This window comes from Homo sapiens, chromosome 3, assembly GCF_000001405.40.
Source record: "Homo sapiens chromosome 3, GRCh38.p14 Primary Assembly".
Taxonomy (NCBI): domain Eukaryota; kingdom Metazoa; phylum Chordata; class Mammalia; order Primates; family Hominidae; genus Homo; species Homo sapiens.
The window spans coordinates 171,874,981-171,901,835 of NC_000003.12; the positions used below are offsets into that span (position 1 = coordinate 171,874,981).

At 38.8% G+C, this 26,855-nt stretch overlaps 2 long non-coding RNA genes across 2 annotated transcripts in view; one reads left to right on the forward strand and one right to left on the reverse strand.

The window, feature by feature from the left end:
- Positions 1–1,371: 1,371 nt before the first annotated feature.
- TMEM212-AS1 (TMEM212 antisense RNA 1) lies at positions 1,372–25,760 on the reverse strand. Its single transcript, NR_046852.1, has 3 exons — positions 25,471–25,760; positions 24,194–24,285; positions 1,372–1,416 (listed from the first exon to the last, which is right to left on the reverse strand). It is a non-coding gene; the product is annotated as a TMEM212 antisense RNA 1 (long non-coding RNA).
- LOC105374218 (uncharacterized) overlaps positions 25,484–26,855 on the forward strand; it is a 38,180-nt gene continuing 36,808 nt past the window's right edge. The window contains exon 1 of the long non-coding RNA XR_924719.2: positions 25,484–25,767. This is a non-coding gene — a long non-coding RNA (uncharacterized LOC105374218). The remainder of the gene's footprint in view (positions 25,768–26,855) is intronic.

Consider the following 26,855-nt stretch of genomic DNA (forward strand, 5'->3'; position numbering starts at 1 on the left):
TAACCCCACCCTGGGGCCTCAAAGGCCTTTATGAGATGTGCTGGTCTTCGCATTTCGATGTGTTTCATTTTCTCTGGGTTCAGTACAGTTGAAAAAGGTTATGAGACTCAGGTTAAAAGTCAGGAAACGGATCAGGGCCCTATACTATGACATCATTTTCTTGCAATGCAATGAAGCAATGACATTTCCTGGAGGAAAAATTATTAGAGATGACAGGCAGCCTCAGTTATCTCCAATATTTGGAGTGGAAGGTGTCAAGCCTGCAAGCCTCCAGCTCCAGCCTCCTTCCCTGCTCTTCCTTGGCTGGGCCTTCTCAAAGGTGAAGCGAGAGAGAAAGAGAGAGCGAGAGACCAAGCCCACTTCCATTTTTTTTAATAGTCCTGGTATATTTTTAAATGAAGATATGCTAAAACTTAGTTATAAAAACTGTGTGATTTTTCATTATTAAAGCAATTAACACTCTACAACAAAAAATATGTGTAATATAAGCTTGCAATTTACAAAATAGTTTCCAGATTTATTTTTTAAAGTGACATCTAGGCAGAGCTACCTGGTATGACTGTGCAGGTCGACCAAGGGGAAGAGCGGGGATTAAAATCTGGTTCACAATTGCCAAACCTGGTGCAGGGCTGTATCTGCCTTTTTCTGATTCACACAAATGTTACACCACAAGTGATAGGTTGTCTTACAATAGGGCATAGGTTTAAGTGAACGATGAACCAGTTTCGTGCTTTCAATCTTAAGTATCTCTCTGACTGTAGGAATAACATATCTTGGGGGTATCTCCAGAAGTATAAATTTAGGGAGCTGCCTAATTGTGAGTCCTGGGACAAATGAGCCTCCTGGCAGGTCACCCCAGGCACATAGGGAATCTTTTCAGATTTACAAAAAGGTGGTGTTGATGAGACAACACAGGCTGTGTGAAACACGTGGTTTGGAGAACAGGAGCCCTGGGCTAGGTTTCAGCCTGGCCAGGTGCTTTTGTGCAAATTGTACAATTGTAGTGACACTACTGGCCTCCCATATGGTAGACCTTGACCTGGACTCCACATGCAGACGGACCTGCTCCAGCTCTTAAAAACCAGTTTAGAGACCTGAATCGAAGCCAGAAGAGTTTAAGGGCTTAAGTCAACACACTGAGACTCCACATCAAACCACTCTTGCTTCTCCATCTCTGCCTTTATGACTGGGTTTAGATAACTGGGCTTCTGCTACATACCTCTGTTCCAGTGTCTGGGTGCCCGATGAGTAATGCCCGAAACTGGGTGTCTAGTCCACTTACCATGCCCCTTCTGGGGACTGCAGGAATGTTCCATAAACAACAAACTGAGGGCTCCAGCCTTTGGACTCTTTTTTCTTCTACTTGTCCTCCCACTTGGATTCTCCTGGGAGTTAGCAGAATCCATCAAGCAATAACTGCAAACATGATAGAAGAGAACAACTCCTTAATACTTTTTTTCCATTTCAAAACAAACTACTAAGACACTTTTACTTCAGTGAACGAGAGCAAGCAGGGGTGAGAAGTTTCTATTGCAAAAAAAAAAAAATCAAAGTTATGACTTCAGAAATGTAAATTCCTAGTATCCTTGATAGATTTATATATCTAAGCAATGTTTCTAGATATTGTCCTAGGTTTGCCAAACAGATTTAAGCTCTCTATGGCAGTTGAGTGGCTAGGTGTCAGCCCTCACGAATCAAGAGTGCTTCTATAAATCATTTCACAGTAATTGGATGGGACTTGCAGTGACAAATATGCTCTTTCCTGGAGAAATTAGCGAATATCTGAAAGGCTTATATATTTCCCCAAGATTAGTCAAAACACAAGCCTAGTCGTCACACCTTTCCCTCATTATCCTGTGGTTGTTTTCTTAAATGTTGTGCGTCTTCATAAATGAGTCACTCTTTCCAAGATCTGTCAAAAGTATCAGTGGTTATAAGGCTGGGAAGCATACCAACCCTAGAAAGAAGTACAGAACTTTCAGTTATAGGCAAGAATGTAAAATGTCCAGAATTACTAGCGTTTTATTACTTTGCCAAATTTGCATTCTTACACCATTGAATCATTCCTTTTTAAGGATTCTTTTTCCTATAGTTAAACCTAGGAGGGAGAAAAAGGTATTTATTTTGCATGATATATTCGTATAGTTACAAAATCTGGAGCCTGTATTTTTTACCATTTGAATAATGCTTCTGCTTGCCCATACATGTTGAAAGTGTTGTTTAACTTAAATATACAGATCAGACTTAGTTTAAGAATCTACCCTTTCACCTTGCTCTAGGCAAGGAGAAAGATCAAAACTTCCTATATTTTTAAAGATGACCCGGTCTTTGTTTTGAACACTTCTCACATCTCCTGTTTGTAGAAGCTCCTGCAAAGACTGCATTGTTTTTCTATTCTATAAATCTATTTCTTAAAAATAAGACTTGCATTGCTCATTCGACATCCTAGAAGATATAATTTACCTATGAGGATAGAGTCTTTATGATGATTTTTTTAAATCATAGCATTAAAAAAATAGATATTTTCAATAGAAAAGGTTGTCAGAATTGGTAGGTGAAGAAAGGTATTCATAATTGATATGTTACAATGATAAAACTGATTTAGAAAAACGAAAAAATTTATGTTATCAATTCTGCCTTGAAATACTCAAGTGACCAAAATATTTTATATATTTTATTTTTACTTTAAAGTGACCCTAATTTATTAATTCATTCATTTTTTTCTTAGGTTGCAATAGAATATAAAATAATTCTAATTTCACTTAGTTCATTAATTTATTAAAAATTAAGAATATGCATGCCAGGTGCAGTGGCTCATGCCTGTAATCCCAGCACTTTGAGAGGCCGAAGTGGGTGGATTACCTGAAGTCATGAGTTCTAGACCAGCCTGGCCAACATGGTGAAGACCTATCTCTACTAAAAATATAAAAATTAGCCAAGCACAGTGGCAGGCGCCTGTATTCCCAGCTACTCGGGAGGCTGAGGCAGGAGAATCACTTGAAACTGGGAGGCAGAGGTTGTAGTGAGCCGAGATTGCACCACTGCACTCCAGCCTGGGCAACAAAAGCAAAACTCTGTCTCAAAAAAAAAAAAAAGAAAAAAAAAAAAAGAATATGCAGGATGCCAGCCAGGGGTCAAGATGCAATGAATTGGGAAATGAAATCTCCCAGTCCACAAAATAAAGATAATATTAAAGTAAACATAACAAAGACGTTTGAACAGGTTAAATACTTACCAGGATAAGGACTGAAAAGCAAATCATTTTACTTTTTTGGGTTTCCATTCTCTCACCCATAAAACAAAGGAGTCAATTAATTGAATGTAGAAAATTCTGGGACTAAAAGAAATATGTGTGAGTGTTTCAAGTGAATTTAATGTGTACGAGCTTTCACATGCTTTGTTTGGCAAATTTCATCAGGAAAATATGCTCAAAGTTGAATTATGATTTCAGATATGGAGATGGACAATATCATAGACATAGTGAAAAACAGGAGGAAAAATATGGAGCTTGGCCATAAACAGGAGAGAATGTCTAAATGGAATGGATGGCCTGGGCGGGAGGGAGCCACAGCAGAGAGCTGCAAAGCGAGATTGGGCTGAGTGCACGGCAAAGCTCAGATCAATCAATCAACAAGGATTTTATTCTACTCAGGTTACTTTATTTGTTAAGGGATTCTTAAGGGGGTGCCTGAGATAACAAAGCCAAGGATTATAAACTGTGCTAAGTATAATAGATTGCAAAAATATCCTAGCATCTAGCTTTGTAAGACTAGCAGAGGAAGGACATCTATAACTAGAGAGTGCTTAGGAAATATTTTAAGAATGTTCTGAGGTTCCACTTAAACAATGGGTCTTGGCTGAGGTTTAGAAACAGCAGTTGCAGGCAGCAGGGGAATGGTAACCAAAATGAAGTTATTCTCTTTGAACAACCAACACTTGGGAAGGGGACTAAACTGTTGCAAAGAAGCACTTTGGCTGTACACCAAGGAAGAATCTTCACATGTTCTCAAGATATAAACAACACTTTGGTATAGTAAGATTTCCCACAAGACTCATTTCTCTCAGAGATATAAAAGTGAGGAAAACATGTGATGCTCTGGAGTGCTATGTCTCTTATGCAATGAGATCTTGGTCAAGTCCAGTGCATTGCCCTTTCTGCTTTGCCTGCCAGGAAGCTGGCAACAGAATTTAGATTTAAATCTAGGACGTACACTAAAAGGTCTAACCTTGTCTTTTATGTTTAAATTACTGCTTTGTCTTTTGCTCTTATCTTGAAAATTTTGCTGTATTTGTATCTGTCATTATATGCCACCTCATTCATTCATCTAGTTCAAAGATATTTACTGAGGACTTACTTTGTATGAGACACATCAAGTTCTTTTAGAAGACAGACAGAATGTGGCTCTGGACTGGCAGGCAGGAGACCTGAGCTTTAATATCAACTCTGTTTCTGACTTGTGCTGTGTTTCGGTCTTAGGGCTTGATGTTTATACTCGGAATACAGTTCAGGCATTTTCCAGATGAACAAAGGCTCTGGGGCATATAGGTGGTTTTCCTAGTAACTCACCCCATCTTCCTCTCTTTTGAGAATGGATTTTTCCCCCAAGGGTCTTTGATCCTACAGCTGCAGACATTCTGGCACCAGGGAGCCTTAAAGGTCAAGGACTGAAGACACACAGAGGTCAATGAAATCAGGGGACATCTTAGTAACTGCTGAGAACCTGTGGGGGAGAGCACTACGGCTTCCAAGATGAATGAATGATGTCATTGGTGGTATAAATAAGCGTGCACTTGCTAAGCTCTGACAGGAATCCAACAGGTGTGTTCTGGAACAGTGCAAACAGAAGAGACCCTTCAAAGAAAAACAGCCAGAAAACTGCTTCCTTTCACCTGTGAGGTCTTCTTTTTGATTGCAGGCTCCCAAAGATTGAGCACCATGGGGTACAAAGGCAAGCGTGTGCACTTGAGCCTGTTTTCTCATCTGTGCAATAGGGGAGTTGGATCCACTACTGTAATCTTCTAGCCCCTCTGACTCTAATTGTCTATGATTTGATGACTATCAGTTTTCTTTTCAGCCTTCTGGCTCTACCACTCCACCCAGAGAGTTGCCCTTACCATCCTCTTCAAATACAATAAAAAACAATATGCAAATAAAGACAGTGAAAACACTTGTATAATGGCAATTCTAAAGGACAAGATTGAGTCCTACTTAAGTATTACTGAGTTATGTCAAAGACTTGCTGGATAGCTGGATGTGGTTATTACTTCCCAAAATATATCCCTTCCTTCAGAGCATATCCAAATCCATAACAAACTATGTTTACACAATTCTGCTATGTATGCATATATGAACCCATATTCCCATATTGCTTAGCACAGTGATATGTATCTAATAAATGTGAGAGTATCTGAGTAACTTTCGAATCTAAGAACCATCAAATATTTTTATTTTACCTCAGTAATTTATATGTAAAACAAATATCTGGGAGAATAAAGGCGCAAATACAGAGAAGGCACAATTCCTGCCCCAAAGAGTTTATTGATTTAGTGGAAGTGCATAAAAATGTAACCAGAATTGTGTAAAAAATACCTAGTAGGTTCAGTGGCATTTAAAATATGCACATATGAAATGCTACAAGCTTATTTACAGTGAATATTAATATTGGACACCACCCACGACATTAAGTGCTGAGTATACAAAAAGTAGCAAATGGCCCTGCACTTGATGGCCCTGTAATCTTCAAAATGATATACAGCTGTGCCTCAGTAAGGGGGCAGGATTGGGACCCCACATATACCAAAATCTGAAGATGCTCAGGTTCTTTATATAAAAGTAGTATTTGCGTATAACCTAGGTACATCCTCCTTTGTACTTTAAATCATCTCTAGGTTACTTACAATACTTAATGCAATGTAAATGCAATGTAAATAATTGTTATACTATATTATTTCTGTCATTTTTAATCGTTGTATTTTTTTATTTGCTTTAAAAAATATTTTGATCTGTCGTTGATTGAATCCATGAAAGCGGAACCCCTGGATAGGGAGGGCCAAGTATACATGATTCATTCATTCCTTCAATCTCCAAACAAGTATTGAGCGCTTACTGTGTGGAAAACACTGTGATAGGCACTTTGCAGGACCAAGGCCTACTTAATACACAGTTCCTGTCTTCAAGGATTTTAAATGCAGTAGGAGTGAAGAAACAGACAGCAAAGCAGAATTGAAAAGATGTATCAGTAAAGAGCTATAGAGAACACTCTGAGGTTAGAGTAATTATGCCCTGGGATCAGGAAAGCCTTCACAATGGAGTGGCACTTGATCAAGACCTGCAAAGATTATAGCATTTTAATGGTGGAGACAAAGAGGAAACACATCTCAGAAAGAGAGGTCAGTGAGAATAAAAGCGCAGAGGCATGAAAATTAATGCATGCCCTGGGAATAGCAAGCAGGCTGGTGTAGCTGGAGCGTGGAATCCAAAATGGATGGAGGAAATGAGGCCATGAAGTTAGGACGCAGCTGGCACATGAAGGGCTTCCAGTGCCTTACTAAACCTACTGATTTTATTCAGCTAGCAGTAGGGAGCTAGTAGAGGTCCAAGAAGGCCAGAACAAATCAGAGGCTACATATTCAGTATCAAATATCAATACCTTCTGAAATCAATGACTGCTAAAAAACAAGTCGAGTGGAAACAATGGGTTCTTCTAAATTAGGAGACCAAGATTTAGGGGCAATATTGATACTCTTCACCTACCCAGCTCCAATCCATTCTTTATATTTCAAAGTGGACATTCCTTCCACAGGGAAGCCTCCCCTTTACCTCAATTGAGCCAGATCTCTCTGCTGTGTACCCAGGGATCCCTGTACTTTTCCTTTGTGGCTTGTAGTAGATTTTATAATTGTATATTTGCCTGTGTTTGATTAATATATGTGTCCTGCATTGGACCATAAACTATGTGAGAGCAGAGATTATGTTTCTGCTTTGCCAGTCAATTTTTTGACAGGCTACCCGCTATGCCCGTATGAAGTAAAATATTTGATAAATGAATGAATGAACGAATGAAATATAGGAGAGGACACAGTGTGTTGGAGAATGATGATAAGAGATCATATCTGGAGCCTTATAAGTAGGTGTGGTGGTTTTAAAATGTGGATGTAAAATTCCTTGATGTTGTTCTCGTCGAAAGTTCGAATTGATATTCTTTGCCCTTAAATCTGAGCAAACTTGCAATGATCAGAGAGCAGCAAAAATGGTGTGTGACTTCTAAGGCTGCTATGTTGGAACCACGTGGTTCTTTTGGGGTGCTTGCTGTGGGAGAAGCCGGCTGCAATGTAACAGGTATGACCACCCTAAAACCTGCAAGTCAGAGAGACCATGATGCTAGAGAAGCCATGTACAGGCACTTCAGTTGACAGACTGAGCTCAGTTCTGCCAAGAAAGGTGAGTGAAGTTGTCTTGAACTCTTTGGACTATCTCATCTGCCAGCTGAGATGACCTCAACAATTGCCCCAAGAAGCAAAAAAATTGCCCAGCTGAGCCCTGCCTGAATATCAGACCCATAGAACTCATTTGTATGATAAAATGTTGTTTTATGCCAATAAATTTGGGATAATTTGTTACATAGCAATAGTAGCTAAAATATCAGCAAAAAGTCTCAATAGAATCCTCCCCAATAACCTGTAACAGATGAGGAAATTGAGATCCTGAGAGATTAGCTAATTTATCCAAGTTTCTAATTTGGTAGCAGTAAAGCAACCAGTCTTCTGACCCCCGGGCCATTGCCTTTTTCTCTCTAATGTATGATAATGCACTAAGAAATTTTCTATATAATTATATGCCAAGTCTAAAGACCATCTCTTTATCAAGCCACATTTGTATCCCCATTGATACTTTTATTCTCATTGATAATTAAATGGATCAGTCAAACTCCTTTACATATACACAAAAAGTGAACTGTGGCCTTAGATATGTGGAGTTTACAAACACTGTAGGTAATTTGGACATTTGAATGTAACTACCTCCCAATTAGAGGAAGAAACATCTTCAAGTATATAAAACACAGTAATATTTCTTCTTAAATTTGTGCCATTCTAATCCTTAACTTCCTAAGTTTTGAAGGCTGTCAGTTCCAAATTCACTGAAAGAACTTTTCTACTGAAAGAAAAATGCTGCCTCTATTAATATCAACCTTTTCCCCTTCAGAACACTTGCTTGCTAGTGATTTATTGTGGACAAGCTTCTTCCTGCTCCTTTTGAAAGTTAATTTTTTTTTAATCATGCAAGTAGAGGATGAATTCCTCATCTCTTGCCCCAGGACAATTTAGTTAAGCTAATCTTCAGGAGAGAGTTTGGGTATTTACAATTCACAAATTGATGCTGCTTGTAACACAAAAGAGAAAAGGGTCTTGCTGCTGTGTTTGATGTCAATTGGGAACTAATCCAAAAACAAATAAGGAAGACCAGCCCATGCAGCCTGTATGGGTAAAGATCCTTTTAGATCTTGGGACCTTGCAATTATATCATAAAGATGGAAATTTTTTCCTTTAAAAAGATCAAAGATATGATCCTTTTGTTTGTGGCAATGTCATTATTTTTTTAAAGGCTGAGGAAAACAACAACTAAATATCTCCATAACTGTATCCCAATGAAAACTGTGTACACTGATGATTCAAAAGTTAATGTTTAGCTTATTGCAACATTTTTCCTATTCACATAGTGAAACCATTAATAATTAAAGGAAAGACAAATGTTCAATTCTATTCTGAATTTCCTTCTCACCGTCGCGACTTCACAGATTTCAACAAATGTTAGTTCTTTAAAATCCCACCTGTGATATAGAAGGATGTGTACATGGCTTTAAGTGATGTTATGTATTAGGACTCTTAGTTGCAAATAACAGGATACTAAACTCCAACTAATTTTAATAGAGGGGGTTGATTGGGTCTCATAACGGAAAATTGCACACTCAGGTCTTGCTTCAAGCCCAGCTAGAGGCAGGGACGTATGCTTTTCTCTCCAGACTGTCTCACTGGGCTCTTTTCCTCTGTGTCGGCCCCTTTCTCAGGCTGATTCAATGAATGTAAGGTAAGAGGACCACTGGCAGGTCTCATCTTACATTTGGGCAGCTTCCAAACCCAGCCGCATTCTGGATCGGAAACAATTCTGGGGCTGATTCTGTTTCGTCCATCTTGAGCCTCACACCCACCCCTGTGGAATTCTCTTAGGTACTAATGATGTGTTTCAGAACCTACCAAGAATTGTAGTTAGATTCTAGCATAATTTATTTTAATGAAAACACTTGCTCTAAAGAAAGTGTGCAAGATGGCATGCCAAGTTACATAGCTCAACTTTCCAGAAACTCTGCCTTTCTCTTAAGCTATTTTCCCATACATAGCTTGCCTTTTCAATCCCAAATTTACCAAAAGTATAATCTATATTTACTTATTCCCCTCTCTTGCTGTAACCTTCCTGCCTTCTAATTTCACTTCTCTATAAAATGGTTTTCGCAAAGATCACTTGTCACCTCTCACAGGCATTCCACTGTCATCTTTTTGGTGTTCCTCCTATGTGTCCCCTTGGCAGAATTTGCCACTGTGAACCACTCCTTTTTTTTTTTTTTTTCTTGAATCTCTCCTCCTGAAGCTTGTGCTCTTTTCCTGTCTCAGACAGATTCTTCTTTGTTTTCTTTACTAGCTTTTATATGATCAGCATGGTCCCCAGATGTAAGTGTTCACCAAAGTTCCATCTTCAGCTTTTTTCTCTTTTTTTTTTTTTTTTTGAGACGGAGTTTTGTTCTTGTTGCCCAGGCTGGAGTGCAATGGTGCGATGTCGGCTCACTGCAACTTCTGCCTCTCAGGTTCAAGCGATTCTCCTACCTCAGCCTCTCGAGAGTTGAAATTACAGGCATGCACCACCATATCAGGCTAATTTTTTGTATTTTTAGTAGAGACAGGATTTCTCCATGTTGGTCAGGATGGTCTTGAACCCCCAACCTCAGGTAATCCACCCACCTCGGCCTCCCAAAGTGCTGGGATTACTGGCATGAGCCACCGCACCCGGCCAGCTTTTTTTCCTTCTAACTTTGTAGTCTCCCTCATTGGGCAACCTCATCCAATTCCATGGCTTCAAAAGTCACCTATTGGATGTTGATTTTAGCATCTATGAGTCCAGTTTTGTTTCTGTTCTTAGGTGTTACACAGCAGTTTTTGAGTGTCTATTCCTTGTACTTCCATCACCTTAAACTCAGCATTTTCAGAAGCAAACATTAATTTCCCCTGGGTGGCTCTTTGTGCCCTATGACATGCCACCATCATTCTTCCAGTCAACCAAGGAAGAAGAAGATGGAATAATTATCAGTTTATTCTCATCTCATATCCAATTGGACCTCCATAGGTGCAGCCTCCACTTTTTCATCCCCACCGCAACTGTCTAGTTTAGACCTTCATTCGCTCTCCTCTATTATAATAGAATTCCAATTTCTTATTTACTATATCTAAATCACCTTACTAAAAACACTTTTTAATATTCTAAAAATTATTTCTGCCATCACATGTTATAAATGCAAAATACTTAATGTTCAAGGCTTTCTAAGCTCATTTCCATGAGTCCATTTTAGGCACTCTGGTTGGGCCATACCAGGCACCCTTCACATCTTTACTCATGTTAATCCTTCCATTTCAACAGTGTTATTTTCTTCACCTGTCAATGCCCTACTCAACCTTTAACATCCACCTGGGGTAGACAACAGCGTTGTTCATCGTTTTTTCTGGTGCTCCTCCTTCTATTTTATATTTTAGTTTTATATTTTTGTGTTAGGATAATCTTTACACAATGGTGCTCCTCCTTCTAAACACATGGTGGATTGCACGCTTCTTCCCTTGTTGTATCCAGCAGAGTTATGTGGCTTGCTTTGGTGAACAAATATAAGTGCAATTGACACGCATCACTTCTGGGCAGAAGCTTTAAGATCTTGCATGAAACAGGCTATTTTTTCATTTTTCTCTGCTAGAAAGTCAGCAATACTCCAGAGAATAGTTTCTCTGACAATCTAGAGTAAAGAGGATATGGACCAGAGACCCTACCCAAACCATCATGGACATGTAGCATGAGCAAGAAATGAACATTGGTTGTGTTTGTGTAATAAAAAGTCTGTCTGGGCACAGTGGTTTATGCCTGTAATGACAACGTTTTGGGAGGTTGAGGTGAGCAGATTGCTTTAACCCAAGAGTCTGAGACCAGCCTGGGCAATATGGCAAAACTCTGTCTGTACAAAAAAATACAAAAATTAGCCATGCGTGGTGGCATGTGCCTGTGGTCCCAGGTATTTGGTAGGCTGAGGCAGGAGGATCACTTCAGCCCAGGAGGTTGAGGCTGTAGTGAACCATGATCATGTCACTGCACTCTGGCCTGGGAGACAGAGGGAGACCCTGTCTCAAAATAAAAAGAAATAAAATTAAAATTAAATAAATTAATAAAGATTAAAAAGTCTGACTCCATGTCTTGAAGTTGGACTGCGGATATTTTTAAAACCATGCCCTTCCTTCTTCCCTTCTGCCACACATCTGACCAAATTGATTAACAAATCTTGGCGCTCCCTTCTTTGATAACAGAGAGTGGTTGAAACCCTGCAAACACCTTTCTCCATGAAGGAACACTCACCCTGACCCCACCCCAACCACCTTAGGCCAATCTCACTTTCTTACTTTCTCCAAGCCATTTTCAGACCAGTGTGGGAGGCCTACCATATTCTCCCCAGAAAGTCTCACTATGCAATAAACCTTCTCATACCTTCTTGGAATGTGTGCGGTGTCATCATTCTTGATACTGGAATCAAAATGTGGGTGGAGGTCTGTCCTACTTCTGAGAAATAGCCCCAATAATTTGTAATTTGGAAATGTCTGTTACTTTCGGAGCTATAATGACTGGCGTACTGAAAAAGTTTGATATCTTAATCTGTGTATTTATTACATTGGTTTGTTCAATTTGTGAAAATTAATTGATCTTTACACCTAGGATTTATGCATTTTTATGCATAAAGAAGTGCCCCCCCCACCTCTGGTTTTGCTTTCCATGGTTTCAGTTACCCATAGTACAGTACAGTATGAAATTCTGAGGCACAGAACAAACAAGGGATCAGGTTCACATAACTTTTATTACAGTATATTGTTACAATTATTATATTTTATGATTAGTTATTGTTGTTAATCTCTTACTGTGCCTAATTTACAAATGAAACTTTATCATAGATATGTATGCATGAAAAAACATAGCCTATATAGAGTTTGGTACCATCTGCAGTTTCAGGCACCCACTGGGGTCTTGGAATATATCCCGTATGGATAAGGAGGGACTAATTTATGCATACTCACTAAAAAGATTAATTTTAAAACTTTATTGGTACTATTCTTACATACTCTCAACTTTGTCTTCTTTATCACTATCTGAACATATTTATTGAAATGAGGGTAGTGTGTGAGTACGTATTTACATAACGGAATGGAGTTAGTAATAGAAGAACAAAACAGACACTATTTTTTTTTAACTTTTATTTTAGGTTCGGGGGTACATGTGAAGGTTTATTACATAGGTAAACTCGTGTCACAGGGGTTTGTTGTACAGATTATTTCATGACCCAGGTATTAAGCCCAGTTTGCAATAGTTATCTTTTCTGATCCTCTCCCTTCTCCCACCCTCCACCCTCAAGTAGACACCAGTGTCTGTTGTTTCCTTCTTTGTGTTCATAAGTTCTCATGATTTAGCTACCACTCATAAATGAGAACATGAGGTATTTGGTTTTCTGTTCCTAGGTTAGTTTGTCTAGGAAAAGAGCCTCCAGATCCATCTATGTTCCCACAAAAGACATGAACTCTTTCTTTGTTACGGCTGTATAGTATTCCACAGTGTATATGTACCACATTGCCTTTATCCAGTCTGTCACTGATGGGCATTTAGGTTGATTCCATGTCTTTGCTATTGTGAATAGTGCTGCAATGAACATTTGTTGCATTTGTTCTTATGGTAGAATGATTTCTATTCCTCTGAGTATATACCCAGTATTGGGATTGCTGGATCGAATGGTAGTTCTGTTTTCAGCTCTTTGAGGAATCACCACACTGCTTTCCACAATGGTTGAACTAATTTACATTACCACCAACAGTGTATAAGTGTTCCCTTTTCTCCGCAACCTCTCTGGCATGTCATCTTTTGACTTTTTAATTATAGCCATTCTGACTAGTGTGAGATGGTGTCTCACTGTGGTTTTAATTTGCATTTCTCTAACGATCAGTGATATTGAATTTTTTTCATAAGCTTGTTGGCTCCATGTATGTCTTCTTTTGAAAAGCAGACATTCTTTACAAAGCTAATTATGAAGCAAGACAGAATTATGTAAATGTTAAATAGAAATACAAATAATATCTTCCTGTAATTGCAGAATGAAAATATCAGGTAAAGCTTCAGAGGGAAGGTGACATTTTTTATATTGTATTAGTCAGACTAGGTGAGATTATGCTGTGCTCGTATAGACACTACCCTGATTTTTATTACCATTACCATTAGTAAGTTTTGCCTATCTTTGGACTTCATATAAATGAAACCCTATAGTAAGTATTCTTTTGTGTGTGGCTTTTCTCAAGCAGCATTACATTTATGCGATTCATCCATTTTGCTGCATATATCTGCAGTACATTCCTTTTCATTACTCCATTGTATACCATTGTCTGAATATACCATAATTCATTTTGCTATTTTCCTGTTGATGAACAATTGGGTTGTTTCCAGTTTGGGGATAGTATGAATAATGCTGCTGTGAACATGTTTTTTTAAAAAACATATTAATGCATTTCTAATAGTTATATATCTAGAAGTGAAATCATTTGGCATAGCATATATTTATGTTCTGGTTTAGGAGATACTGCCAAACTGTTCTCTAAAGCAATGGTACCAACTTACAATTTCACCAGAAGTGTAAGTTACTCTATATCCTTGCCACGCCTTGTTATTGTCACTCATTTTAATATTAGCCATTCTGATGAGGATACAGTGAAATCACATTTATATTTCCCTGATGACTTTTAATATTTATTAGTTACTGGGTGACTTCTTTTATAACTTCCCTGCTAAGCCTTTTGCACATTTTCTACTGAAATGTCTTTTTCTTATTGACATATAGAAGTTCCTTAAATATTCTGGCTATGAGTCCTTTGTGGGTTCTATGCATTGCAAATATATCCTCCCATTTTGTGGCTTGCCTTTTAAATCACTTAATGATGTCTTGAATGACAGAAATTTTTAATTTTACTGAAGTTCAGCATGTCAATCTTTTCCTTTATTGTTAGCATTTTTTTGTATCCTGTTTAAAAAATATTTTTCAACTCCAAAGTTACCAAGATAATTTCCTATGTTCTATGATTTTTATTGCTTTTCATTTCACATTTAGTTCTATAATCCACCTAGAATTACTTTTTTAGTATGGTGTGAGGTAGGGATCAAGGTTCATTTTTTACATATATATCTAATGTATATGCACATTGAAACTCAGTGTAATTTGATCCATTAAATAAATTAATTCCCAAATCTGAAATTCCCTGAGGTTATATTATTTTTTAGGTTTCTAAACCACTGACTGTAAGGTGGAATCCACCACTAAAAACCCCTCATGGTTTCCTAAAATAACTTTACTGGTAGAGGTGGGGATAGACCATTATGCATAGTTATCGCCACTGCTAAAGACTATCAGGCTGAAATCTCCTTCCTAACCAGAAATTTCAAAATTTTGAGGAAATAATTTTTGTCAAGCAGAGATTCTCTCCCCACAGCTACAGAAGCTGTGAATGTGCTGGGTAATCAGCACATCTCATAGTCTCACCCAAGGCCCATGGCATAGTCCCTAGGTATTGCTGTTGGTTATTCAGGGCCCAAGACCTCTTTAGTTATAAGGTGATGGATCCTGCAAGGACTGGGTCCTTCCCTTCAAGGCGGTGAGTTCCCTTCTGGCCCAGGGTATGTCTGGAAATGCTGTCCAGGAGCTAGAGCCTGGAACTGGGGCCTCATGACTCTGACCAGTGCCCTATCCTACTGTGGCTAAGCTGGTATCTAAGATATAAGACAAAAGTCCTCCTTACTTTTCCTTCTCTTCTCTTTCAGTGAAAGGAAGGGGTCTCTTTTGAGGCTGAGAGCTGTTTCACCTGGGGTTGGGGGAGTAGTGGTATGAGCACTTCCTTAGCTTCCCCAGGTGGTGTCTCAGTAAGTCATGTGCCCCCAAGTCCACTGGCTCTGAGCCTGTTCAGCACTAGGACTTGCAGTACTTGTAGCCTAGACTGTCTTTCAAATTTATTTAGGGCCCCAAAGCACTTCAGCCCATTGTGGTGAGGCTTGCTAAAACTCAAGTTCCAGCCACTGGGGTAGATGATTCCCCTCTGGCTAGGGCTGGTTTAAATACTCCCTCCACGGCCAGGCATCAGCTGAGTTCAGACAGGTTTTGCTTTCCACTGTGACAGGACAGCACTGAATTCAATGCATAGTCTCATGATTACTGCAGTCTCCTTCTTTCAAGCACACAGGTTTATCCATGCCATGCAGCCATTACAGGATGGGGTAGGGGTGGTGTCAATGATTCAATAGGGTCTTTCCCACTCTCTTCAGTGCCTCTTTCAAAGTTATGAAGTTAAAACCAAGTACTGTGAGTAATCACCTGATTTCTGGTAAGTCTTACAAAGGAGCTTTTTATAGCTGTTGAATTTGGTGTTCCTGGGAGGAGGGAGGGTAGGGAGATGATTGGTGGGGCCTTCTATTCCACGTTCTTGCTCTGCCCCTTTGTCCCCAAAAGCACACTTTGAAAAATCAATAACATCTTTAATGTTAAGGTTTTTCCAGAGATGGACGGAGTTAAATAAATAGGTAATAAACATGCCAGCTGTGAAATTAAAGAGATATGTGTTCCGTGGTTACATTCTTATATTATCATAGTGAGATTGCTTTGGGGTGTCACTTCCAAGATGAATTTTTCATTTGACTCTATATACTCTATATCTCCTTGGGCAAAAAAAAAGCCTGTCTAATTTAATAGGCCTTTAATGATACAGTAGGAAAAGAAAGAAGAATTATAGTTCATTAAAAATAAGTCAATATTAAGATTATAAAATCTTTTCAACTTTAATTGTTATACTAAGAGGGACCAAAGGCCATATTTCTAAAGACTCAGCTTTATGCAGACACAAGATGAATGTAGCTGTCATAAGAACTAAAGACAACAACTTTTACATTTTATTCTACATAAATTCCAGGGATTACTGTTAACTTATTTAGCTAAGGTAGGCAAAAAGGTTTTTCTCAGAGAGTGAAAAAGACTGACCACTTCAAATAAGAGAACTTACTTTTATTTTTTTCCTAGAAGTCACTTTTGAAAGATTTTATAGCTTACTTGATTTGATCCCCACCTCCCCACCAAAATATATCAGGATTACCAACACCTACTTGATGATCAGTTTCAAAGATGGGGCCAAGAATATCTGAGCTGTGGAGACCTTAATGGGTATGCAAATCTCTCTTCCTTCAAAAATGTGTCTTGATATATAGAGTAAAGTAAGGATAACAGTAACTATTCATTCAGCTTTTCCAGAGCCCCACCAAACAGGGGATTTCCTGAAAGTGTGGTTAAGGTTTTTCTTGGCTAATGGGCTTGAAAGGGGTGAGATTCCTTGGCCCTATTTGGCTTGTGGGACAAGAATTTAAATATTGTTTAGGGGCTTCATAGAATGCTTCCTCAATGATGTTTAAATTAGAGGCATTTAATCTTGTTCCAAACTGTAAACTGGACATATATGAGCAAAGGTAGTAATTAACCTGGGTAAAAGTCCATTTATTAACAGCTCCCCTCCTCCAATTGCACCCCATCTCCCAAGAAAGAAACCAATCACAACACAAGAAGCCTTCTCAGAACCAAACAGAATACCAAGATGGCTTTCTGTGATTGTGGGCAAAGAAATGTCTATGATAAGTCTAGAGAGGAAAAAATCTAAGGCTCTAAGCCACTCACTGAGTTTAGCAGTGACAGGTCTGGAAGTTGGTGTCTGAAAGCTGAGATCCAGTGACAGCAGGCTACCTGCACCAACACCCTTCACCCCCGACCCACAGGCTGGCCCTACCCTCTTCTCTCAATGCATAAAATTATCGCAAGTAAAATTGAAGTCTTATTGCCTAAAAACTATTTAGTGAGAGAGAGCTTTATTGTTAGCTTTTAAATTGATGTTTCAACTACTTGGCTACTGTGGTGAAAACGTCCTATATAGTTTTGTATGCACCTCTATACCACAAAACGATTTTTTTCATGCACTAAGTTACTTAAAACTTCTTTAATTAATTTTATTTTGTTAAAGTATCTTCTAATCTCTTAAGGACTAAAAATCACTAAAATTTTAGTCTTAAGGACTAAAAATCACTAAAAAATTCTAGGGCTACTAATGGGTAGCCCTAGAACTATATTTGCCTTCAAAATTAGAAAGGAAATATGGATAACATTTTTCACTCAAGACTTGTGAAGCATTAATACTGAATACTGGAGCACTACAAGTAACATACTATTAAATTTCAGGCAAGCCACTTAACCTCTCTGCCCCTTTCTCCATCTGGAAATTCAGGAGATAAGTAGCCCACATCAACAATACTGTTTCAAAGACAAACTGGTACAAGATTGGAAAGCACTTTACAAATATTAAGTGCTCTGTAATTACTTCTTGTTGTGACAAACTCTATTTTCAGTCCTGTCCAGGAAACAACAAAGAAATACCCCCTGACTTCTAATCTGAATTGAATAGTACAATCTGGACAAAAATACAGCAGGAAGGGAAATTAGTCTTAAGTAGATCTTTGGCTACTGTGAAAATTGCACTTCTAGGGAGAAATTTGAAGAAAGAAATTTTGATATATTGAAAGGGGTTATGAAATCACAAATAATGCTACACCAGTAACTGATTCTTTTCTTTCTTTTTATGCAGCCCAACACAAATCTCCTCAAAAATTCTAACTTGAAATGGATACTACAGCTAGGGTAGATATTTTGTTTAAGAAATTTAAGTCATTGCTACAAGAACAGAGTAGAATTATCCTGTTTCTATCCTGAAGTTTCACAAATTTGAACCTTGAAAGAGTTTAGTTCACATATAAAATTTTCTTGCTTATGAAGGTTGTTAAACTGACAAGTTATTTAGCCAACAAGGTAGCCTTAATAAAACATTGTATTCTCAACTGTTTAATTAACCAATTAATCAACAAATGTTTATTGACCACCTACCACTATGTGTAAGCTCTTATGTGCGATACAATTTAAAAAAAGAAAAAAACGAAAGATAATAGTTCTTGCTTTTAAGAGTTCTGAATCTAATTGGACAGATAAGACATATACATGAGACGAGATAAGTGGCACCACCATGCTGTCATTGATATGGGCCAAATGACTAGTTCAGACTGTAAGTGGGAGACCAAGGGGACAAACAGCTCTGGGCTAGGGTGGTCAGGGAAGGCTGAACAGGCAGGATAAGCACAGGATCTTGGTGGACTGGAGCAGCAGAGTGGCAGAGTCGGGAATGGAATGGTAAATAGGTGTTTAAGAGTAGGAAAAATGTTTGCGAGAAGAGGAAAACGAATTTGAAGATGGCTGGGTGAAGCAATGAAAATCAAAGTATAGGCAAACTGTACCCTTTTTCTGTCTCTCTCTCTCTCACACACACACACACACACACACACACACACACACTGTGTGTGTGTGTGAGAGAGAGAAAATGTGCAGGGGTAAACGTGCCACAAGTTTAACCTTTAAATATTAAACAAATTTCTGTTTTCATTGTTTTTCCTCCCTCATCTGCCCCTGCCTCCTTCCCTCTCTCCTTCCTTTCTTTCTTCCCTTTCTTCCTCCCTCCCTCCCTTTTCTACCCCCTTTCTCTCTCTCCCTCTCTTCCTTCCTTCTTTCCTTTAGCCCTGGTCTACTTAGTAAGTGGAATACCTGTTACTTTCAACAGTCCTTGGACGCAAAAACTCAGAAATTCTCATGACTGCTTCTGAAAAATTCCAGGGCTTCTAGGTCTCCAGATTCCAGAATCCTATAAGAAAGGAGCTCAAGAAGCCACTTAGTTTAGCTCCTCTGAAAGAAGTTTGACATCGGACCCCTGCAACAACTTAACAGCTTTCTGGGCCACTCCCAATATAGCTTTGATGCTATTAGAAGAAAACAACTCTGGGAAATGTTCAACTTACTCTATTCAGAAATTAGATCTAAATCTCTCAGATCGTGATTGATTTTTTGCCATTTGTTAAATGTGTTATTACACATCAATGAAGTATTTTGGTAAAATGCTGACAGCCTCATGTTGAAGACCTAATTTCAAATTCAAGAGCAGGCTGCAGGTCAGCAGAAACTAGCTGCGTACATTGCACTGTCTTCCCCAGTGCTATCCGAGGGACATCAAGGGAGAACAGGAGAGGAGAGAAAAGGGAAGGAAGGAAGAGAATGCCTTGCATTAAGGACTCGCATAGGAAATTACCCAAAATGTAAGTTGAGGTGCTAAAGAGTTCGTGTTGACTCTTTTAGATTCTTGATACGTTATATTCACAAATAGCAGCTGTGTCAACTTGCTGGGCATTGAAGTAAGGGGAACCGTAGGGAACAGACACGTACATGCACACCAGTTACCACCAACATACATTATACATACAGAAGATTCCAATTTAGAAAATGAAGGAACTAACATTCATTTCTAGAATAACAGAAAACTATAATTCACTGAACAATAGGGCAGTCATTTTTATAATCATTTTGTTGTAATAATTGTGTTCTTCAATGTAAGCATTTTTCATAAACTATATCTTTTGCTTCCCAAACAAAGCATTTCAATCATCAAAGTAGGTCGTTGAGGACAATTTACAAATTGGCTCGACTCTGGAGAAAACTTTTGAAGAAAACTCTGTAACGTATAGAAGCCTTTAAAATTGAACTTTATTTGGATTTGTGGCATTTGGAAAAGTGGTCTATAAAAAAATCTGGAATTAGGCCCTATCATATCCATAATCTTTGGGGAAAACTAAGGACATTATTATAAATTAACATTTCTTTCTATGAATTTACTGGAATTATGAGCAGTTTTTATTCTCTTAGAAAAATTCGACACACAGCTATTCATTAAACTAAAATAGAAAAATCAAGATTGTTGCATTCGATCAAGCAGTAATTTTATTTTAAAAACCTAATAAAAAACAATTTGCTCTGAAGAACTTTGGCTATTATGTTACTTTTGAAGAATAAAAATAGTCAACATATTAATTTCTGTATCAATCTTTTCTTCAAGATGCTTATTTGCCCTAGTATACTCATTTTCTTGCTGCAAGAGATTGAGGTTGAGGTTCTCCACACATCTAGACTTGATCCTCTCTCTCTGTCTCCTCTCTCTCTCTCCCCCTCTCCAGCTCTGTCTCCCCTCCCCCTTTCTCTCTTGGCAATTCTCCTGAAATGCCTAAAGCAAAAGGGGGTTATTGATGTCTTCCAGGACTTTAACTGCAAGAACAGCTTTATCTCCTAGGCAGACAGATACTACACAAATGTTTGGTTTGCTGCATATCACACAGTTAACAAGGTTCTTATAGGTTCAAGGAAAATAGATTGTAAGACTTTGCCAGGAGGACTTAACATTCTGGAAAACAAATGAACAGATAATTCTGAAGAAACTGAAATTTTAAAAAATAACCAGTAGTTAGACATAATCCTACAAAAAGAGATAGAGTGAGAGTTTTTTTAAAAAAGATGAGAATAAATGTAAAAGGCAACTAAAGAGGTTTTTTTAAATTCTTAATCAATAAGAACAACTATTCTTAGAAAATGGTCTGTGCATTGCAATTGCCCTTCTTTCTGATCTAACAATCCAATCTTTTTATTCCAAATTGTTTAAACTATAGGAAAACCTGATGACAATACCTCTTTCATCAGACTTGCATGTTTCAGTTGAATGTTAAGTATATCTTTCAACTAAGCTTTAAACATGCAGTTCATCTGGAAGCTGGGCGGGTATCTCTTCCACGCTCTTTCCTTGCACTGCCACCAGGAAAAGAGATAATGAAGTGTCTTCATATGCTCATTGTGAGCATGTGTCCAGACTGCTTTTACTGACTTACCAATGGGCTTTATTTGTGTGTAAGTTACAAGACTCTGACATTTACGACTCTCCAGGCAAATGAGAGCAAAAAGAAGAGGTTCTCAATCTTAAAGCTGTTTACCAGCTGCTGGAAAATGTCGGCTCTGGGCACCCACAATCCATACAAAATTCGAAGGTATTAGAGCTGTCCCTTCTTGTGTCAAACCATAAAACGCAAAAGCTGTACAATAGCTGCAATATATTGCCAAACTAAATTAACACATGAGGAAGAAACTACTGTACTTCTGTGAGAAATGGAGTCTTGAAAGGCCAGTTCTTTGCTCAGATCCCACAAGTTAAAAGTGCTGAAAAGCAGGCATTGTGGTTATGGTTCCCCGCCATGTGATGTTTGTTGAATTCTCACTGGATATCCTAAAACACTTAAGCCTAAAGGGTTTAGGATGTCTACAGAGGCCGTAATTTGGAGACAACAACTTTATCTTTGTGGGAGATACAGGGTACAATACAAATGTTTGTTGAGTTCCTTCTCTCTTCCTTGACAAGGAGCTTATTAAACAGTTCTCAAGCAAATTTTATGGGAAAGTAAATGATTTCATGGAGAAGAATTCTCATGGCTTAGCATGCTAAAGCTAGAGGCTTCAGTCAGGTGACACTCCAGGTTTATAGGGAATTGAAGGCAAGTTGGAACGTAGTTCATCAAATGTCAATAAGGTATGAGAAGCATACTTGGATGTGGGGCTTGAAGGAAGATGCCAAGAAATTGCAGACATGGGAATGGTCACACAGGTAGAGAGATAAACATGCCAGGTGAATGTAGAAGGTGAGAGGAGAGGTCACAGGGTACCTAGAAAGAGATTTTCTAATCCAAAGAATATTCTTCAGGTTGGAGAAATTTCTCTTATATTAAAGAGACTACTTGGGCCATAAGTGCTTAGGATGGATAGTCAGAATAATAGAATTTTCAAACTGCTAGGAATGTGACATATTTATAAAGCATACATATTTATAAACCATCCTACCTCTGCTTTTGTTCTTCCAGGGCCTTCCCATTGCGTTTCAAATGAAATCCATGGTTTGGCCTTCCTTATGCCTCCACGTCCCTGCAGCATGTGGCCTTTCAGGCTTTGCCTCGGCCTGCTCTCCCTGGGGCCCCTCCCCCGTCAGTACTCAGGCTGACCTGTCTTGCCAGCCTCGGTGCCCCTGGCCATCATGCAGCTTCAGCCTAATGTTCTTTCTTCACCTTTCATTGGACTCACCATCATTGTGTTTATGTTTAGTCTATTTCCACTACACAGTGAGTTCCATAAGGTCAAAAACCATGTCTCTCTCATTCTCCATTTTGCCATCAAGATGTATCATAATACCTGGCCTCTGGTAGTTGCTACACAAATACTTGTTCAACAGAAGAATACAAATGAGGTCACTGGGGTCAAAACAGGTAGAGTAATTTCCTCAAACTCTCCCAAATCATTAATAGCAGAACTAGGCTAAGCACTGAAGTTTCCCAAGAAATCCTGATTTCTAAGAGTGGTTAGAATATGCTCAGGTAAGAGTTTTCATTGACATTTCTGCAGTTAGCATTTATGCTTTTGGAGAGATTTGGGAGGAGAAGCTTTTTTTTTTTTTTTTTTTTTTTTTTTTTTTTTTTTTTTTTCAGGAGACTAATGAACCCAATTGCTGTATGGGCATCAAGAGGGTAAACTGGGTTCTGTATATTGTTATCCTTTCTCCTTGGCTGTGTTCCACCTCCCAAATCCTCTTTAGGGTTTTCATCCTGTCTGCTCTTGTCCAGAGCTACTCCTTGAATCCTATGCTCACTGGTCCTCACTCTCTGGTTTTTCTTCTTTTCTGATTGTTAGCACATGCTCTTCTCTGCCCTTTGGAATGTCCTATCTATGCATCAAGGTAATTACTTTGGGGTAGAATTGCAGCTTTTAATTTCCAGTGCTTATTTGTGGGAAGGGCAAGGAGAAGCAAGACAGAGGGAAGGGACAAGGTGGTTAAATAGCATTCTGTTGTCAGCCTAATGAAGCCAGCCCTTTATTAGATGTTATCTTGGCTCTGCCTGCGTTAGAGAGAGATAATTTATTTACTTTTTTGTTAATATTTTAAAAGGAAATTTTGATACTGGTCTTGTGACTCCCCAGAGAATCTTCAGTAGCACAAAGGGTGTTACAAAATTCTAAAGTCTCAAGAAGCAAAACCACTTAAACTAATAAACATGTCATATAATACTTTGTGGGGCCTGGGGAAGGGTAATATCATGAAATCAAGCAATGATCAGCTTTTAAAGCTCCCAAAAGGACAATCATCACAGACTGAGTAATTTGTTGTTGGTGTTAGTTTTGTTTTGTTTTCTTAGTTTCATCTTTCCTCCATAATTATCCTGTTTGTGCTCATAAATGCTTTTGCGGGAATAATATTTACCAATAATATCTACTTTTTACTGAATGCCTACTATGTGCCAGGCACTTTACTTTGTCTCAAATCCTTATCATAACCTTAATAGGTAGATATGGTTATTCATATTTCAAATGAGAAAATTAACACCCAAAGTAGTTACGTAAGTTGCTCAAGATCACATAACAAGTAAGGACTGTCAGACCACCCAAGCCTGTACCTACCTTCAGTAGCTGTGCCCTAGGGTGGCTGGAGATCAATATCTATTGGGCCCAAATACACAATCTATGAAAAGTCTTGCGTTTGTTATGCAAAGCCTGCTTCAAAATAATTCACTTGATCTTCTCATCTCTCTTCCAACAAATTTGCCACCTTGGAGTTCATTCTATGTAAAAATTCTAGACATGAAAGTACTTTGCAATATGTCATCTTATATGCAAACAAAATTAAGTAAATTTGAACTTGAATCATTGGATCAGAGTCTAGTGTACTAGATATTATATCAGGGCCAGCAGACTAAATTTTTAAAATAGCAAACAGCCTTTTTACTTATTTTCTCAAGCTCTCCATGTATCTATGATGTTCTTATTTGGTGTTATCTACCCAATTGTGAACTGCACTAAGACATGGGGTAGGCTAGCATGGTGGCTCATACCTGTAATTCCAGCATTTGGGGAGGCCAAGGTGGGAGGATCACCTGAGCCCAGGAGCTTGAGACCAGCCTGGGCAATATAATGGACCTCGTCTCTGCAAATAATAGTTTAAAAAAAAATTAGCTGGGAGTGGTGGCACATGCCTGTGGTCCTAGCTACTAGGGAGGCTGAGGCAGGAAGATCACTTGAATCTGGGAGGTCGAGGCTGCAGTGAGCTATGATTGCACCACTGCACTCCAGCCTGGGCGACAGAGTAAGACTCTGTCTCAATAACAATGACAACAACAACAAAAAGATATGAGGTACATATTTGATCTTTCAGAAAGCATCAGGCTCTTGGGGGAGCCCACAGCCATAGAACTTCTTTGTTTAATATAAACACAGACAGAAACTCAAATAAATGTGTCTAATTTACGTTCATGTTTCTATCATTTCATTGCCGGCAGTGATAGCCAGAAACTGAGGACCCTGAAATCACCTTTGATACATAATCCCTCTCCCAGTGTCCTCTCTACACCTCTGGCCCCCTCACAGTGAGCTTCAACATTCCTCAGAACCAAAAAGCACAACAAAGCCGGGCACGGTGGCTCACACCTGTAATCCCAGCACTTTGGGAGGGCGAGGAGTGTGCATCACTTGAGGTCAGGAGTTCGAGACCAGCCTAGCCAACATGGCAAAACCCCATCTCTACCAAAAATACAAAAATTAGCTGAGCATGATGGTGCATGCCTGTAATCCCAGCTACTTAGGAGGGTGAGGAAGGAGAATCACTTGAACCAGGGAGGTGGAGGTTGCAGTGAGCCGAGATCACACCACTGCCCTCCAGCCTGGGCAACAGAACAAGAGTCTGTCACAAAAAACAAACAGACAAACAAAACAAATCCCATGCCTCTTGGAATTTAGGCAATGTATGATTAGGCAAGTATTAAAAGTTATTTTAAAGGCTAAGTAATAATATTTGGTGATATTTATGGTCAACTAAAAAAAAAGCAGAAAGTAAAATTTTCTCTCTGCTATTGTGTCAGAAGAGTATTCTAGAAATATTAAAGGTTTCCCAAGTGTTTCGTTTTCTGCCTTGACCCTAACCTCCATTCAAACACCAGATTTGACCTTCAGCTCAGGAAGAACTCAGAATGGCAACAAGCACCAAAAAGGAGTCTTTTCAGATTTCTACGTTTTTTAAGTCTAGCTCCTTAGGAGAACGGAAAGGACTCAAACTAGAAAAAGATTGGAAAAGGAGAGTTGGAGAAGCAGAGAGGGCAGTGGCGCCGTTACGTACCTGAGAGATGTGCCTGCGCTTTACTCCACAGGCTGAGCTTGAGAAAGGCGGCAAGACCCTGAGAAGAAATGGCGGCACGAAAAGTGTTGCGGAGGCTGTGGAGTTCCCAGTCCCGCCATGCTGTAGGCGTTGAAAAATGATCTCCTCGCACCCCAAAATAGCACAGAGGAGGCCCTGAAACCAGATGGGGCCACGTGGGTGGAAACAAGGAGGTTCTCTTCAGTGGCTGGCACTAAACAGCACCCAAGGAACAATCAGGATGAAGGTCTCAGCCGATGCCGCTGTGGCTAGATGACGGTGAGGATTTGATGCAACTCAGGGGAAACGGGGGGAGGCTTGGCAAGAATGGAATTTGAAACAGAAACCAATGTATGGAGTCAGAGAAAAGTAAAGAGAAGTAGGTATTTTGCTTTTCTGCATTTAAGGACTAAATTTTATACCTCCTAAACCTGTGATTAAAACAAGAGATGAGGAGTGACATAAAAAAATGAGGAAAATTTGTCCGGATTTCTCTGAACCTCCACTTCTTCGAAAGAAGAATAATTAAAATGTTTAGAACCCAGCATTAGTATGCGCATAAGAAATAATGGACTACTATCTAACATATTAAAGTAATTATTTGTTGAGGTCATTAGATTGTAAATTTGTCTTTCATTTATATTTTCCACGTTTATGGAGATTTTTGTTGTTCTTGTTGTTTTAAGAAATAAGATGAAGAGAAAGGACAGAGGTAAAAAGGAAGTAAGGAAAGAAAAAAGATGGTGAGAAAAAAGGACTTTTAAGTAGTATTGGGTAGTTAAAACATATTACCAGTGGTTAAAAAAAATGAGGTTGGAAATGTGGATGGGGAGAAATTTTAAAGCGTCTAAAATTTCAGACTAAGAAATGTGGACTGTATCCTGTAATCAATGAAGGGCCATGTGGACTGTATCCTGTAATCAATGAAGGGTTTTGAATATGGGAGTAACAGGTCAAATCTATGTTTAAAAGCATTCTGGTCATTTTGGGGTGAGAGTCCTAAGAACGAAGGCAGTGAAATAATTCCCAGGCAATTGCAATAACATAGACATAAAATCATGGGGGCACCCAGGCAGTGGCAGGAGGGTTGAAGAAGCAGGAGTGGATCAAAATTTTTAAAGAGGTAGCAACTTAGTGCATGATTGGTTCTGAGGGTAAAAAAAAAAAAAAAAAAAAAAATCATTGCTGAGAATATCCTGATATATGGAATCTTCAGCCACAGCTTGAAAGTGCTCCTGTTTTAAGAGGAGATTAAGCATCTTGAGTGTCATTTTGAAACTGGACAGAATTGAAGACTGCTAATGAATGTTGGCCACTTAGCAACCACAAAGTTAGCAACTTCGAGCAACAGCCACAGACGCGCTATC